General features: G+C 54.1%; 1 protein-coding gene across 6 annotated transcripts in view, besides 5 other annotated features; it reads right to left on the bottom strand.

Annotated features, from left to right (window-relative positions):
• Positions 1 to 14,978, bottom strand: part of CELSR1 (cadherin EGF LAG seven-pass G-type receptor 1) — a 176,447-nt gene that overhangs the window by 98,938 nt on the left and 62,531 nt on the right. For 5 of the 6 annotated variants that reach the window (NM_014246.4, NM_001378328.1, XM_047441624.1 and 2 more), the window contains exon 2: positions 3,596 to 4,234. In NM_014246.4, coding sequence (NP_055061.1) covers positions 3,596 to 4,234 — 639 coding nt within the window. Of the gene's footprint in view, positions 1 to 3,595; positions 4,235 to 6,783; positions 6,875 to 14,978 lie in introns of those variants that run through there. The other variant, XM_011530554.3, reaches the window with a different exon arrangement.
• Positions 2,527 to 3,726: an enhancer, noted in NCBI's record as "CDK7 strongly-dependent group 2 enhancer chr22:46858535-46859734 (GRCh37/hg19 assembly coordinates)". NCBI's record gives its function as "activates an origin of replication core promoter dependent on BRD2, BRD4, P300/CBP, MED14 and CDK7 cofactors, with strong dependence on CDK7, by STARR-seq in HCT116 cells {active_cell/tissue: HCT116}" and the evidence as "EXISTENCE:reporter gene assay evidence [ECO:0000049][PMID:35650434]".
• Positions 2,527 to 3,758: a biological region, named in NCBI's record as "CDK7 strongly-dependent group 2 enhancer GRCh37_chr22:46858535-46859734".
• Positions 3,252 to 3,758: an enhancer, noted in NCBI's record as "H3K27ac-H3K4me1 hESC enhancer chr22:46859260-46859766 (GRCh37/hg19 assembly coordinates)". NCBI's record gives its function as "activates a minimal SCP1, AML or CMV promoter by ChIP-STARR-seq in naive H9 embryonic stem cells {active_cell/tissue: H9 hESC(naive)}" and the evidence as "EXISTENCE:reporter gene assay evidence [ECO:0000049][PMID:30033119]".
• Positions 11,165 to 11,984: an enhancer, noted in NCBI's record as "H3K4me1 hESC enhancer chr22:46867173-46867992 (GRCh37/hg19 assembly coordinates)". NCBI's record gives its function as "activates a minimal SCP1, AML or CMV promoter by ChIP-STARR-seq in primed H9 embryonic stem cells {active_cell/tissue: H9 hESC(primed)}" and the evidence as "EXISTENCE:reporter gene assay evidence [ECO:0000049][PMID:30033119]".
• Positions 12,255 to 12,424: a silencer, noted in NCBI's record as "fragment chr22:46868263-46868432 (GRCh37/hg19 assembly coordinates)". NCBI's record gives its function as "represses an EF-1alpha promoter that drives an FKBP-Casp9 reporter gene in an ReSE screen in HepG2 liver carcinoma cells {active_cell/tissue: HepG2}" and the evidence as "EXISTENCE:reporter gene assay evidence [ECO:0000049][PMID:32094911]".

Consider the following 14,978-nt stretch of genomic DNA (forward strand, 5'->3'; position numbering starts at 1 on the left):
GTTGCGGTGAGCTGAGATCACACCACTGAACTCCAGCCTGGGTGACACAGTGAGACTCAGTCTCAAAACACACACACACACACACACACACACACACACACACACCCATTAGCTACAGTCCCTGCCATCCTGGGGGACAGAGACATGGAAGTGTGTGAACCACACCCAGCATGGGGGTGGACCAACAAAAGCATCAGCAAGGCACCCAGGAAGCTTCAAGGGAGGAAACCTATGATCCATCTGAGGAGGTCGGGAAACTTCCAGAACCTTCTCAGAGCAGGTGTACAGCTGCGGAAGCAGATTTTGAGGGAGGCCCATGATGGGCAGATGGATGGGGAGGAGACACATTTCAGATGAAGGGATGGCAGGTGCAGAGGGGAGACGGAACAGGGCCCTGTGTCTGGACCCACAGGAGCCAAGTCAGAGCCTGAGCAATTTAACAACAAACACAACTACGATGTTTACAAAAAGACCGAGGGGCTGAGAACCGAGGAACACCAGCCCGTGTTTGCCTCTCAGGGTTGTTTAGGACTCTCTGCAGAGCGGAGAAACTGGGAGGCCATCCCAGGCACATCTAAGATGCCGGAGCCTTAAGGCTTCCTGCCCTCGTCCCTTTCGGAGAATGGGATGGCTGCAGACCCCAACCACAGTCCCAACGCCGTGAGCGGGTGGCAGCCCTCCTTTCCCTGCAAAGATCAGGGGAATCCACAGACCCTGGGGCCTTGGACTTCTCTAAGGCCAAAATGGATTTCAGGGACACGGGAGAGCCATCAGTATTTTCTCCAGCATCAAATTTGTTGAGCTTTTCCTGAAATTAATTGCTACTTCCTTCATCCAGCTCCTGCTGTCTCCTGTCCCGCAACACAAGAAGCCAGGGGCTTTCAGCAGCCACTTGGGCCGATTCCAACCTTGCAACCGTGAGGCCCCCGAGCTCGGCTTACCAGGGAGCAAGTAATAAAACCCCTCTGCCGACAGCACCACTTTCATCGTGAATAAATGAGCTCAATTACCTCCACGCAGAAAAAGGAGCGCTTCAAAGGGAAAGAGGGAAAAGGGGAGGAAGAGGGACGGAGTAGAAATAATCAGTCTTAATTAGCCTTATCTCCGAGGGAAATACATATGATAATTTTGGTACCCAAAGAGATTCAAATTAGTCTCATGCCAATCATTACATGTTAGTGGGTCTTACTGGTGATGACAGACTTGGCCGTTCCCCAGTCATTAGTTTTCTAAAAATGACTCTCCCGATGAAAAGAAAACCTGAGAAGCTCAGAAGGTGGGTTCCCCCCAATGGGTCAATCATCTTCAGAGGGGATCTGCTGGCCCAGGGGTCCCCAGGGGCCTCGACCACCCCTGCCCAGTGCAGCCCCAAGCTTCCTGCAGCCTGGACTGGCGGCCTGGAAGGCCGATGCAGGTCTCAAAGCCACGTTAGACGTTACCCTAGGGCTCCTGACTCATCTGACAAAGCCAGAGGTGGTGGGTGCTTGCACAGTCCCCTCTACCCATGAAAAAGCCAACGGCACAGATGAACTTGGTCACCCCCCAGAACAGGCTGGGGGAGGTCTGGCTGTGTGCGCTGGCCTGGTATACAGTAGGTACTATCTGCGGAGTAAAGATGGCGTCCTTGCCAACTCTTGGGAGCGTAACAGGCCCCTTTCCAGGGACCCGCGGCCACGGCTTCTTCATCTGAAGCAGGGAAGTCGACGAAGCGCCCCCCACCCAGGCCACATGGCAGGCACTGGCTCGGGGAAGGGGCGCTGACCGTGCTGGCCACTGCTACATCCAAGCTGGCCCTTCAGAGAGGCAGAGCAGCCCACTCAAGGCCGTGAGGGGCAAAGGGGAGGAAGGGGACCTGGGGAAGCTGACACAGAACAGGAATCCACTGAAAGAGCAGAGGAGGGGGCCTGGTTCAGGCCTGCTCATACCTGGAGTCGTCCCCACCCCCAAACCCAACGCAGGTGTGGGCTGTGGGAGGCGGGGGTCTCCCGCCGCCTCTGCCTGCCTGCCTGCCTTGCCCACAGCCGAGCCCCGGTATAGCCAGGAATTTAGGATTAGCATTCAGTGAGAGACAGCGGGGGGAAGAGCCCCAGACCCAGACGGCACCAACAGACAGCCACAGACTAGCAGGCGTGGGAACACCACGGGGCAGGTGACCACACTGCCTTCCTTCCACCTGCCATATGACCAGAGGGCCACCAACCTGGAGCGCAGGAAGTCAGAGCCGGGAGCACCCTTGCATCAGGCTGCCAACACCCGTGCTGGTGGTTTTCCCTCCACTTCTGATGCAGAGAACCTTGGAAGCCATCCTTCCTCTCTCTCTCTGCTCCCCTGCGCTCTTCCTGCCTGATAAATACCTGCTAATACCTCAAACCCTTGTTATAAGCTCGATAAACTTGTGCTATGTGCTGGTAACGAGCAGCTAACGATTGCTCAGGTGTTTATATTAAACAGATTAATCGAGGACACAGTCGATGGAAGAGTCTCAAAGTTATCTCCGGTATGAACCAAATCCTGCCTAATCCCAGAGAGCTTTCAAAAAAAAAAAAAAAAAGACAGACTATTCACCACTGGGACCATTGTAAACTCGCTTATCAAATGAGCCGTCATTTTGTGGAACAGCCAATCAAAGACCAAAGCAAGATGTGCGCTGAGATGCAGAGAATGTGTGTTTCTGTACCGCTCTCGGGGTGGCTCTTTATTTTTAAAAACCACCGTTGGCTACATTTGGAGTAATTCATCTTGGTGATGAGTCAGGAGGTATCAAGGAAAGAGCATCTTCAGAGGCGGGAGGATGAGTCACGAAATTTCTACGGTGACAGGGAGGCATGAAAAAACAGGATTTCAAGACCCAAATGATTAATGGCTCAATGGTTTCCACCTGGTTCCACTGTTTTACGCTAACCAATTAAGCCTGCAATCTGGAATAAAGTACTTTCACCTGAGGGCCACTTAAAAGCAACTCATGTCATTTCATGCGTTTAGGTTTTCTTTTAAGTGGATCTCACCCTGTAACCTTGTCCTACTGTTCTCCTAAAGCAGGCAGTTAAGTCGGGCAGGGAAAGTGAGTAAGCCGTGGGCTACGGTCAGGGAAGCCCCGAGCTGGCTAAGAAAGTGCCATTGCTGGCCGGACACGGTGGCTCACGCCTGTAATCCCTGCTCTCTGGGAGGCTGAGGCGGGTGGATCACTTGAAGTCAGGAGATCAAGACCAGCCTGACCAACATGGCGAAACCCCATCTCTACTAAAAATACAAAAATTAGCTGGGCGTGGTGGCCTGTGCCTGCAACCCCAGCTACTCGGGAGGCTGAGGCAGAGGAATCGCTTGAACCGAGGAGGCGGAGGTTGTAGTGAGCGAAGATTACGCCACTGCACTCAAGCCTGGACAATAGAGTGAGATCATCTCAAAAAAGTTAAAAAAAAAAAAAAAAGTACCGTTACTGAGATCATCTCAAGGTTCGTGGAGCCCACACCTGGGCCCAGCGCCCATCCTCCAGCTGTTTTCCCCGGAGGGAAGTAAACAGAGGAAACCACCTGAGACCCTCGGCCATGTGACCTGGGGACATGTACACAAAGCCAGGGTGAGCCCGGGCACCTACCAGTGAAGTCCTCGAAGCACTCGCAGGTGTAGCCGCCCTCGCGGCTGCGGCAGCGGCCGTTGGCGCCGCACGGGTCGGAGTAGCAGAGGTCGATCTCCGTCTCGCAGTAGTCGCCGGTGAAGCCGGGCGGGCAGCGGCAGCGCAGGCCGTTGATGGGGTGGATGGGCCGGAAGAGCACGGTGGTGGAGCTGAGGAAGGGCGCGGAGCTGTCGAATCGCAGAACGGACACGCACTTCATGTAGTTCTCGCAGGGCTCGCGCAGGCAGATGTTGTCGTCGAAGGGCAGCACGCGCTGCGTGGAGATGGTGGTCAGCAGCGTCCGATTCAGGTAGATCTGCTCCTGCAGGTCCTCCGACGGGAAGAACTGGCCGCGGACGCCGCCAGGCAGCAGCGCCGAGAAGGTCACGTTCAGGATGTTGGAGCTGACGTCGGTGTCGTTCTGGACGTTGAAGACGAAGACGTCGTCCTTGGTGGTGGACAGCACGGCGGCCACCCCCTCCACGAAGAGGGCCAGCAGCGGGGACAGGAACTTCTCCTGGGACATGTTCTCCAGGCGGACAGTGATGCTGTTGGTCAGCATGTCGTCCGTGATGATGGTGACACGCAGGGTGCAGAAGGCCGTGACGCTGTGGATGCCATCTGCAGACACAAGGAAAGTCAGGGTCATTCAGATGCTGCGGGAGTCACAGGTCCTATAGGCCCCATCCCAGGAGCAGCCTCAGGCATGCTTGGCAAAGGAGAAGAGAGCCTGGGCATCCCCACTCCCCATTCCCCACCCATGACCACCACCTTGACCCTTCCTCCTTCAGCACCCTGGCCCCTGCCCCCCATGACCACCACCTTGACCCTCCCTCCTCCGGCACCCTAACCCCTGCCCTGGCTTCCTAAAGCACAGCTCCGATCACATCTTTCTCTGGCTCCGAATCCCTCAGAGGGCCCCAAGGTGCTCAGCAGGGCACCCTGACGACCACCAGGATTCAGCCCCTCACTGCCTGAAACTCCTCACACGCTTTGGTTCCAGCCACATGAGGACTTGAAGCCCCCTTCTACCTCCTCTGCACCTGCCCTGGCCTCCAGGGATCCCACCCTGCCCAACCTCCCAACAGTTCTTCCTGTCCTCGCAGCTCAGCTCAAACTCTGCAGTGCCTGGCAAGCCCGCCCTGGTCCTGCCCAGGCGACATCCCCACCGACGTGCTGTGCTGAGGGTCCCACTTAGCTCGGCTGTACCCCACGCAACTCCACATGCCCAGCACACAGGAGGGGCCGAGGAGCACCGCTTTACAAAGACACACAGCAGCCTCTCAGCCAGCAGTAAACACATCATCAAGTGAGGTACTTAGGAGTCTGAGGCCAAGACGGTGGAGCACCTTGGTTGCAAAGTCGCATGCATCATCGGTTCCAGGCCCAGAATTGGATGAGACGTTCAGGGGGTGGGTCATGGGTACCAGTGGCTCCCAGGGACGGAGCAGCGGCCCCTGCCCAGGGGCCCTCACCTGCCACCTCCAGGCCCGGGCTCAGATGTGGGGTGGGATTTGCAGAATAGCCTGCCAAGTCCAGGTCCTCCAGGCCTGGCTCGGATTCTGTGTTCCAGGAGCCCCCACCCCATCCCACCCCATGAGGCCCCCTGCCCATGGCCCCCACAAGAGCTCCCACCCTGGTTTCCATGGAGCGTGGGGCCCCTGTCACCCCTCAGAGTCCTGGGCCTCAGTAACTGCCCCAGTCAGGAGGACAGGAGCTGGGCAGGGAGCCAGAGAGGGCCAGGCCCTCCTCCCTCTCATTCTGGGGACTGTGAGGAAGTGTCTGGGCCTTTGGAGGGTGATGAGGCCCAGAGGCCACCTTGTCACCCCGAGCCCGGCAACACACCCGACAAGGCACAGCGGCACGCGGGGATCCCAAGAGGAAACGGAACAAGAGCAGCAGGTGGCTCCGCACCCGGCGCTTTCCCAGCACCAGGAGCCACCAGTCACATCTGGGAGGGACCTGGAGTCAGGTAATTTGTCTAAACAACAAAGAAATGCAACCACTGCAGAAGCCACAGATGCGTGCAGGTGCAGTGGACCCAAGATCCCAAGAGATTCTAACAGAACCAGCACCACCCCCAGTTCACAGGTGAGGAAAACGGAGGCAGAAGCCAAATTTCACACCCAGAAACGCAGGCCCGGCTGGGGATGCCCAGCTCCCACCCCAGTAACGACACTCGGGTCATGCCCTGGGTGCTGTTGCTCTGCCAGGTGGCCTTCAGGACAGCGTGGCAAGTCAGGACTCAGAACATGAAATTAATATTTGTACAACCTCGGTGTGGGGAGGGCGCCTCTGGCTCTGGCATAAACCCAGAGCCCTTCGAGGCTACTCAGTTCTGTGGGCAACTCCCACAGAGCACCTCGGAGCAGGAAGGAGCAGCCCAGAGGGCGTCCGCAGAGCCCAGAGGCAGAGGACCAGTGGCTCTAAGGAGAAGAAGAGGTGGGGAAAACAAATGAGGCCAAAAGGCCTGAGGCAAAGGACATGGTGGGAGACGGCCTCAGAGAGTGCGTTCCTTCCCTCCCCGACCCCAGCTGCTCCCACTCCGAAGGGGGCCTCCACTGCCCTGCCCTGCCCTGGAGCAGGGTGGCCCTGAGACGGCTGGGTCCCACAGGATGTAGCAGGAAACACGTCCTCCAGTTCCTGGCCCAGGCCCCAAGAGGGCTGGAAGGTTCTGCCTCTTTCTTCCTGGTGCCCAGAACCCACACTAGAGAGGGCACATCGGGAAGAAGGCAGCACTCCCGTCCAGGGCCCCGGCCAATGGAAGCCCCAGACCCCAGATGTGACCCACCGGGCTGCTGAGACTCAAGCCACCCCAGGGAGGACCCGGACACCACAGAGCAGAGACCAGCCCCACACTGAGCCTGGCCACACTGTGAGTAGATAATACGACCAGAGTTGGAGGCCACTGGGTTTGGGACGCTTTGTTACACAGCACCAGACAACCAAAACCAATACAGTCGACTCATAGACCAACCGTTCATCAACTTAAAACATTAAACCTCACTGCCCGGCATATAAGATATTAATGTGTTGCTGGGAACCGAACTGTGTCTCCTCAAAATTCTAACCCAAGGGGATGGGTTTTGGAGATGAGGCCTCTGGGAGGTAATGTGGGTCAATGATGAGGTGACGAGGGTGGGGCCCCACCAGGGGATTTGCATCCTCACAGGAAGAGACAGCAGAGAGCTCTCCTCTCCTCCGCATCAGGACGCAGCAAGAAGGCACTGTCTACCAGCCAGGAAAACAAAGCCTCCAGGAACCTGGCCGTGCTGCCTCCCTGATCTTGGACTTGCAGCCTCAAGAACTGTAAGAAAACAAGTGTTTGTTGTTTAAGCCACCCATTCTGTGGTATTTTTAAATGGCAGCCCTAGCAGACTGACATATATTAATTCAATTAAAATAAATTAACATGCTAAACAATGTGTTAAAAATGTGAACGTAAGTTAACATAGTTTTGTCTTACGCAATGCTCATAAATAACTTTAATTTGCTACATCCCGTTTATACATTCCTTTGCCAAAAATAAATTGTAAACATTCAGCGACCCTAAGCTTGAGCAATCATCCTTCTGGAAGCCCAAACACACACACCAAAGACAAAGAAACCACCTAAAGGTCCATCAGCTGGGAAATGCACAACCCAATTAGAGAAGCCACACAATGGACTACTACGCTGTCATGAACATAAGTGTGTCCAAAATATGCGCAAATAAAATGAAAGGGACACGCACAGTGTGATCCCATTTTGTGAGGGGGCTGCTTTACTTATGCACGAACATGTTATATATATATATATATAGAAAACTCTGGAAGGAGCCGGGCGTGGTGGCTCACTCCTGTAATCCCAGCACTTTGGGAGGCTGAGGCGGGCAGATCACAAGTTCAGGAGATCGAGATCATCCTGGCTAACATGGTGAAACCCCGTCTCTACTAACAATACAAAAAATTAGCCAGGCATGGTGGCAGGCGCCTGTAGTCCCAGCTACTCAGGAGGCTGAGGCAGGAGAATGGCATGAACCTGGGAGGCAGAGCTTGCAGTGAGCCGAGATCACGCCACTGCACTCCAGCCTGGGCGACAGAGTGAGACTCCATCTCAAAAAAAAGAAAAAGAAAACTCTGGAAGGATGCTGCAGCGACTCCTACAAAGGATGTAAAAGGATGGGGTGGCAGGGAGTGAACCACCTTTCTACTTTACTGCTCATTTTGTGTTACTCAGCTGTCTTACGATTAGCATGTACCGTTTGGGTTGCTACTTTTTGTAACAAAAGAAAAAGATGAGTCAACCACACCTATGTTCATAGCAGCGCTATTCACAAGAGCTGAAACATGGAAGTGACCTGCGTCCACCGACAGATTAACGGATTAAAACAATGTGGTCTGGCCAGGTGTGGTGGCTTACACCTGTAATCACAGCACTTTGGGAGGCCGAGGTGGGTGGATCACGACGTCAGGAGTTCAAGACCAGCCTGGGCGACCTGGTGAAACCATGTCTCTACTAAAAATACAAAAATTAGCTGGGCGTGGTGGTGCATGCCTGTAATCTTAGCTACTCGGGAGGCTGAGGCAGGAGAATCGCTTGAACCCAAGAGGTGGAGGTTGTGGTGAGCCAAGATCATACCACTGCACTCCAGCCTGGGCAACAAAGCAAGACTCTGTCTCAAAAAAAAAAAAAAATGTGGTCCATGCATACTATGGAATATTATCCAGCCTTAAAAAGGGAGGAAATTCTGACACACGCTACAACATGGATGTACCTTGAGGACGTGATGCTCACTGCAATAAGCCGGTCACATGTGAGGCTGCACTTACAGGAGGTCCCTAGAGGAGTTCGATTCATAGAGGCAGAAAGTAGAATGATGGGTGCCACGGGTGGGGAGGCAGATTGGGGAGCTGTTGTTTAGTGGGTGTGGGGTTTCAGTTTGGGGCCATGAAAAAGTTCTGGAGATAGATGGTGGTGATGGCTGCACAGCAAAGCTAATGTGCTTAATGCCACAGAACCACACACTTAAAAATGGTTAAAGTGGTAAACGTATGTGTATTTTACCACAATTACAAATTTTTTTAATAGGCCAGTCTCAGTGGCTCACGTCTGAAATCCCAGCACTTTGGGAGGCCGAGGCGGCAGATCACCTGAGGTCAGGAGTTCGAGACCAGCATGGCCAACATGGTGAAACCCTGTCTCTACTAAAAATACAAAAAGCTAGTTGGGCGTGGTGGCACGTGCCTGTAGTCTCAGCTACTCGGAAGGCTGAGGCTTGAGAATCGCTTGAACCTGGGAGGCAGAGGTTGCAGTGAGCCAAGATTGCGCCACTGCACTCCAGCCTGGGGGACAGAGAGAGGCTCTGTCTCCCCTTAAAAATGAAAAATCTTAAAAATAGCCTATGACCCACAGGCATTGCTTGGCCATGTGCTGAACACCCCTGGGGTCTGCCAGCCTCAGTTTCCCTCCACCATCATCCTCATGTGGCAGCCAGAGAGGTCTTCCTAAAATATTGACCTCATCACCTTGCTCCCCTGTGGTCCCTAATGGCACCCAGCATAAAATACACACCCCTCTGTCCTGTGGTCTGCGTGATCTGTCCCTGTCATCGTGTGACCGCTCTTCCTGCCCCGGGGCCTTTGCGCATCTCCTGGCTGGAGCACTGCCCTCCTTCTCAGACACTGGCTACACCCCTGGGTCCCTCGATGGAGGACCTTCCATGCTGAGCCCCTCACTCCCATCTGCCACATCCCAACTTCAGTTCTTGTACAAGAGTGGCAGGGCTCTCTGTGTTTGTTTTGTTGTTGTTTGTTTGTTTGTTTGTTTTGAGATGGAGTCTCGCTCTGTTGCCCAGGCTGGAATGCAATGATGCAATCTCAGCTCACCGCAACCTCCACCTCCCAAATTCAAGTGATTCTCCTGCCTCAGTCTCCCAAGTAGCTGGGATTACAGACGTACACCACCACGCCTGGCTAATTTTTGTATTTTTAGTAGACGAGGTTTCACCACGTAGGCCAGGCTGGTCTCGAACTCCTGACCTCAAGTGATCCACCCACCTTGGCCTCCCAAAGTACTGAGATTACAAGCGTGAACCACCGCACCCGGCCTAGGGCTCTGATTTTCTTATTTGTTTATATTTGTTTCTTTCCCCATGAGTCCCTGAGGACCCAGAACCTGTAGGTCTTGTTCCTGCTGCATCCGTCACATCTAGAACAGCTCCTGGCACTCAGAAGCCACTGGATAAACATTTGTGGAAGAAAGGGAGGGAGGGAGGAGGAGGGGAGGGAGGGAGGGAGAGGCAAAGGGGCCAGAGAAGTATGGTGTCACTTTAACTCCAACATCAACATTGACACAAACAGCATAATGAGACTTCATTTTTTCATGTGAGCTATTTTTTTGTGCCTGTTTGACTTTTTTTTTTTTAGGGTCCACTACAATAATACAGATAGGGTACTGTTTACTTCCTCGTGGCAGTTGTTATGAAACATGCTTTTATCTTAAACCACACATGGATGTGTTTGTTCTGGCCCAATACGCAAAGGCCACACTGATTTTAACCAGGAAAATAAGCAGGTACTTGAAAAATTGATTAATGTTTGGGTCTGAGCTTATGTATCATAGTGAGAAGCCCAGGCCTTCTTGGGGTGCCCTGAGCTACTCTGACCCCCACAAGTTGGGAGGAGGCTCCAGCACTGGGGCCTTCCTGGGGGCAGCCCAGGAAGGCACAGCACAGAGAAACACCCCGGAACAAGGACCCATATTCTAGGGACATCCATCTTCACTCAGGGATAAAACGATGACATAACAGACAGAAAATAGCATTAAATATTAACGACTGTGAAGTGTGCTACAGAACACGATGAGTGCCTTACTGTTAATCCTAACATCAATCTCCTTCGAGACCACGGGCCACGGTGAAATTACTTTTTACTTAAGTAGTCTGGGTTGGATTTTGAACCAACCTGCAGCTTAAGCCTTCAGATACACACATCTAAACGCCACCAGTATGGGAATGCTGAGCCAAGCACAGCCTATCCCCACAACGGAATATGACGCAGCTAAACCACACAGTAGCACAAACCTCCATTTCTGGCAGAGATAGATCAAGACAACATGATGTTAGGTTACAAGAAACAGGCCAGGAGCAGTGGCTCACACCTGTAATCCCAGCACTTTGGGAGGCCGAGGTGGGCGGATCACCAGAGGTCAGGAGTTCGAGACTAGCCTGGCGAACGTGGCAAAACCCTGTCTCTACTAAAAATACAAAGATTAGCAGGGCGTTGTGGTGCACATCTGTAATCCTAGCTACTTGGGAGACTGAGGCAGGAGAATCGCTTGAACCTGGGAGTCGGAGGTTGCAGTGAGCCAAGATGGCACCACTGCACTCCAGCCTGGGCGACAGAGTGAGACTCCACCTCAAAAAAACAACAACAAAAAAGGAAGGAGTTACTCTTTCACACAAAACAAAACAAAAAAAATGTTTCTACATGAGCCCAGAGAGCTATCGGCACTGTGGACAGTGGTTCTGTCTGCATTGCTGATTTTGTTTTTTGTTTGTTTTTATAAAACTTAATTTTGAAACAGTTTTAGATTTACAAAAAAATTACTAATACAGCGGGTTCCCAGAGACCCCACACCCAGGCCCCTATTAGTTACGTTATTACATTAGCATGGTAGGTTTGGGGGTCTTTTGCTTGTTTTGAGACAGAGTCTCATTCTGTGGCCCAGGCTGGAATGCAGTGGTGTGATTACTGCAGCCTTGAGCTTTGAGCTCCTGGGCTCAAGTGATCCTCCTGCCTCAGCCTCCTGAGAAGCTAGGACTACAGGAGCATGCCACCATGCCTGGCTGGGTTTTCTGTTCTTGTTTTTTGTAGAGGTGAGGCCGTGCGATGTTGCCCAGGCTGGTCTCACACTCCTGGCCTCAAGCGATCCTCCCACCTCAGCCTCCCAAAGTGCTGGGATTCACGGGTGTGAGCCGCTGCCCCTGGCCTCAGCATTTGTCATAATGAAGGAGCCAGTATTGATAGGTTATTAACTGAAGCCTGTTCTCTCTGCAGATTTCCCTCATTTCCACCCACTGTCCTCTCCTGTCCCAGGACCCCACACCACACTCAGCTCCCCTGCACCGTGGTGGCTTCCAGCCTTCCCTGGGTCTGGGACCTGTACAGTTTTCAGGGGCTGCGGTCTGTGGCCTTCAGGTGATGACGACTTTCTGCCTCACGCTGTCCCCCGTGGTTTCATTTCTGTGTGTGAGTACAGGTCAGTTCACAGTTTGGGGTCTGCTTGATTCCGGGAGGCACGGCACCCACCCAGCACTCTCTCTGCCCGTGCTCCAGGCATTCCTCCCAGGCCTGGAGCGGCTCCGCGGCACCTCAAAAGCGATCAAGTGCCATCCCCTGCTTTCCCGGGAAGGGTGAGTCACCTCATTGTGGCTGAGACATGGGAAGGAGACAGAGCAGACGGCAGAGCGCGAGGCTGCGGGGCCCTCCTGGCAGGTGCTGTACAAACGTGAACCACATCATGGGAAGGAACTTTCTGGGTCTTCATGGAGGTTGGGACCTGTCCAGTCCCCGACTTTCGTGAAAGACTCTGCAGTAAGATAAAGGTTATCTGCAATTGTGTTCCCCATGGTGGGCTCATGCTGTGGGGCAGTGGGGGCAGAGGTCACATCATGGCCCTCAAGGAGCAGGCAGCCCTCAGGGGACAGGGGACAGTGCCGCAGTTCCGAGACTCGGTGGCAGGTGATTGGCGGCTGTGGGTGAAGAGCAGCGCAGCTGATGCTGGACGGCCCCGGGAGACAGGGGAGTAGGTTTCCTGGGAAGAATGGAGTTTGCCACACAAAGTGAAGGGGACAGGCCTCCTGAGAGCACAACGCATGAAAAGCAGCAAAACCAGCAAGGCATGGGGACGGGTGGCATCAGCTCCCGGGGCCGTCGGAGCAAAGGGCCGCCGCTGCATCACCAATACAGGACATTCACTCTCTCCGTTTTGGAGGCCAGGGATCTGAAATTCAGGTGTTGGCGGGGTTTGTTCCTCCTGGAGGCTCAGGGGAGGGTCTGTTCCGGGCCCCTTTCCCTGGGGGCTGGGGGTCCAGCAGTCCTTGGCGTTGCTTGGCTCCTAGGTGCACCCCTCTGGCCTCTGCCTCTGCGCCAAGTGGCTATGGCTCTCCCTGTGTCGTCACGGCTCTGTCTTCTGTTCACCGCACCGGAAGCCAGTACAGCCTCATGTCAACACCTCAATTACAGCTGCAAAGAGCCTATTTCCAAATAACATCCCACTCTGAGGTTCCAGGTGGATGTGAATTTTGGGGGGACGTTAGTCAACCCCGGGAATGCAGAGTAGCGGAGAGACACGGGCACGGAGGCAGGGGGTGGGTGAACCTCCGACTGCTGCCGGCCTCGTGGGCTCTCGGTGCAGGACGGCGGGGGTGGCTGAAGGAGAAATGTCCGCAGAGGGGTGGACAGGACCCACGCACCACGAGGAACCATCGCTGGCCCTTGACAGGTGAGGACACCAAGGCACAAAGAAGCTGAATGTGCCTGGTAAGGTGACTCGGGCTGAGTGGCGGGGCCCAGATTAACCTGAGGCCAAGTCCCCAGTGATGGTGGATGGGAGGGACAGAGGAGATGGTCCAAGAGGACCCTAGTCCTGGCATGGGAGGGTCTGCTGAGGACATGGAGGAGGAAAGGCCAGTTTGTGACCCACCTGGGGCCTTGGAGATGACCCAGTGAGATGGAGCCACAGGCAGCTGGAGACGCAGCCAGTGCCGGGCAGGAACCAGGGGCCACTTATTCACTGTGAGTCTCCGTCACCACCCCATGCACCAAAGCCTGGGGGGCTCCTCCACTCTCCCGTCACCAACGCCCCTCGAGGCCTGGTTAGGGCAGCCCATGATGCCCTCGGGGTCCAGAGTCATTCCCCGTGGCCGGCTGTGATCACATCCACAGAGCGTTGCTTGCTGTCCAGCTGGTAAGAGACACAGGGTGCGTGCCTGTCCTTCCCGAGGCCTTCACAGCAGGCAGGGAGGGCCCTGCTTGGTGGCTCCTGGTGGCTCCCATTCAAAGCCAGGGAACTTTGAAGTGGCTGTGTGCGTCTCTCTCTCTTCTGGGTTTGTTTTGTTTTGTTTTAGAGGCCAGATTGGGGCCAGACAACAGGTGCGATGTGTTGATCCTGCTACCTGAGGGCGTGTGGCTTTTCTCCTTTCTGGGCAACAATCTAGGACCTGCGTCTCACGAATGCAGGTTCACGTCACAGGAACAAGGGGACAAGCACTTTCAGGGTTGGGTGTGCGGCGCATGTCAGGATGTCAAGCCACGAGAGGAAGAGTGAGCCTCGGACCCAGGAGAGCAGAGTCTCATCCCAGCACGAGCGTCTCCAGCAAGCCGGACTGTAGAAAGGCCCACGTGCTGCTCACGATGCCTCGGGAACAAAGTCCTGTGTTAACCTTGCAGTCAAGGTAAAGGGCGCAGCTCTGCCCGGGGGCAGGGCTGGGGAGAGCAGAGCCAGCCTCCTAGTCCTCCTTGTCCCCATCTGTGCCACTGGCTGGACAATGGAGAAGGAGGAGCCCTCCTGACACCCCCAGGAAGCCCACATCTTGGTTTCCCTGGTTTCTCCTCTTTGGAATCCAAGTCCACACTCTGTAACCCCACCACTGCCATCCCCTCGGGCTGCTGCAGGTGGGTCCTCACACATCCTCCCGTTGGTCCCACCTAGTCTTAGCCTCAGACAAGCACCCCCGGCGGCCAGCACCCACCCCAACCCTGCCCCAGTGTCTGGTCCCGATGCCTGGTCCTGACCCCTAGACATTGTGTAAAACTCAAATAAGTGTATTTAATATATCCATTACTTGTAAATTTATCATTTATTTGTGGTAAGAATGTTCAAAATCCTTTCCTCTAGCTATTTTGAAATATACAATACAATATTATTAACCATAGTCATCCTATTGTACAATAGAGCAACAGAACTTATTCCTGCCATCCTACTGTAACTTTGTACTCTTTGACCAATCTCTCCCCAACCCCCTCTTCCTCCTTCCTCACCTCCCCAGATTCTGGTGACCATTATTCTACTCTCTACTTCTTTTTTTTTTTTTTTTTTGAGACGGAGTCTCACTCTGTCATCCACCCTGAACTCAAGCTGCAGGTCCCAGGCAGGTCACTTAACTTGTTGGAGAGGCTGCCGGGATCTGCTAAGAACAGCAAGCCGCTTCTCCCATGGCCAAGCACAAATCAAATGGAAACGCACAGGCAGGCCCTGGGAAGCCCATCAACAGGCAAATGAGGAGCGTGTTAAAAGCTCTGAAAAGCTTCTAGAGCTTCAAATCATTCAAACACAAATGCCATTTTATCTTGCCGCATTATTCTGTTTCAAAGGCACACTT

Source organism: Homo sapiens, chromosome 22 (assembly GCF_000001405.40).
Source record: "Homo sapiens chromosome 22, GRCh38.p14 Primary Assembly".
NCBI lineage: Eukaryota > Metazoa > Chordata > Mammalia > Primates > Hominidae > Homo > Homo sapiens.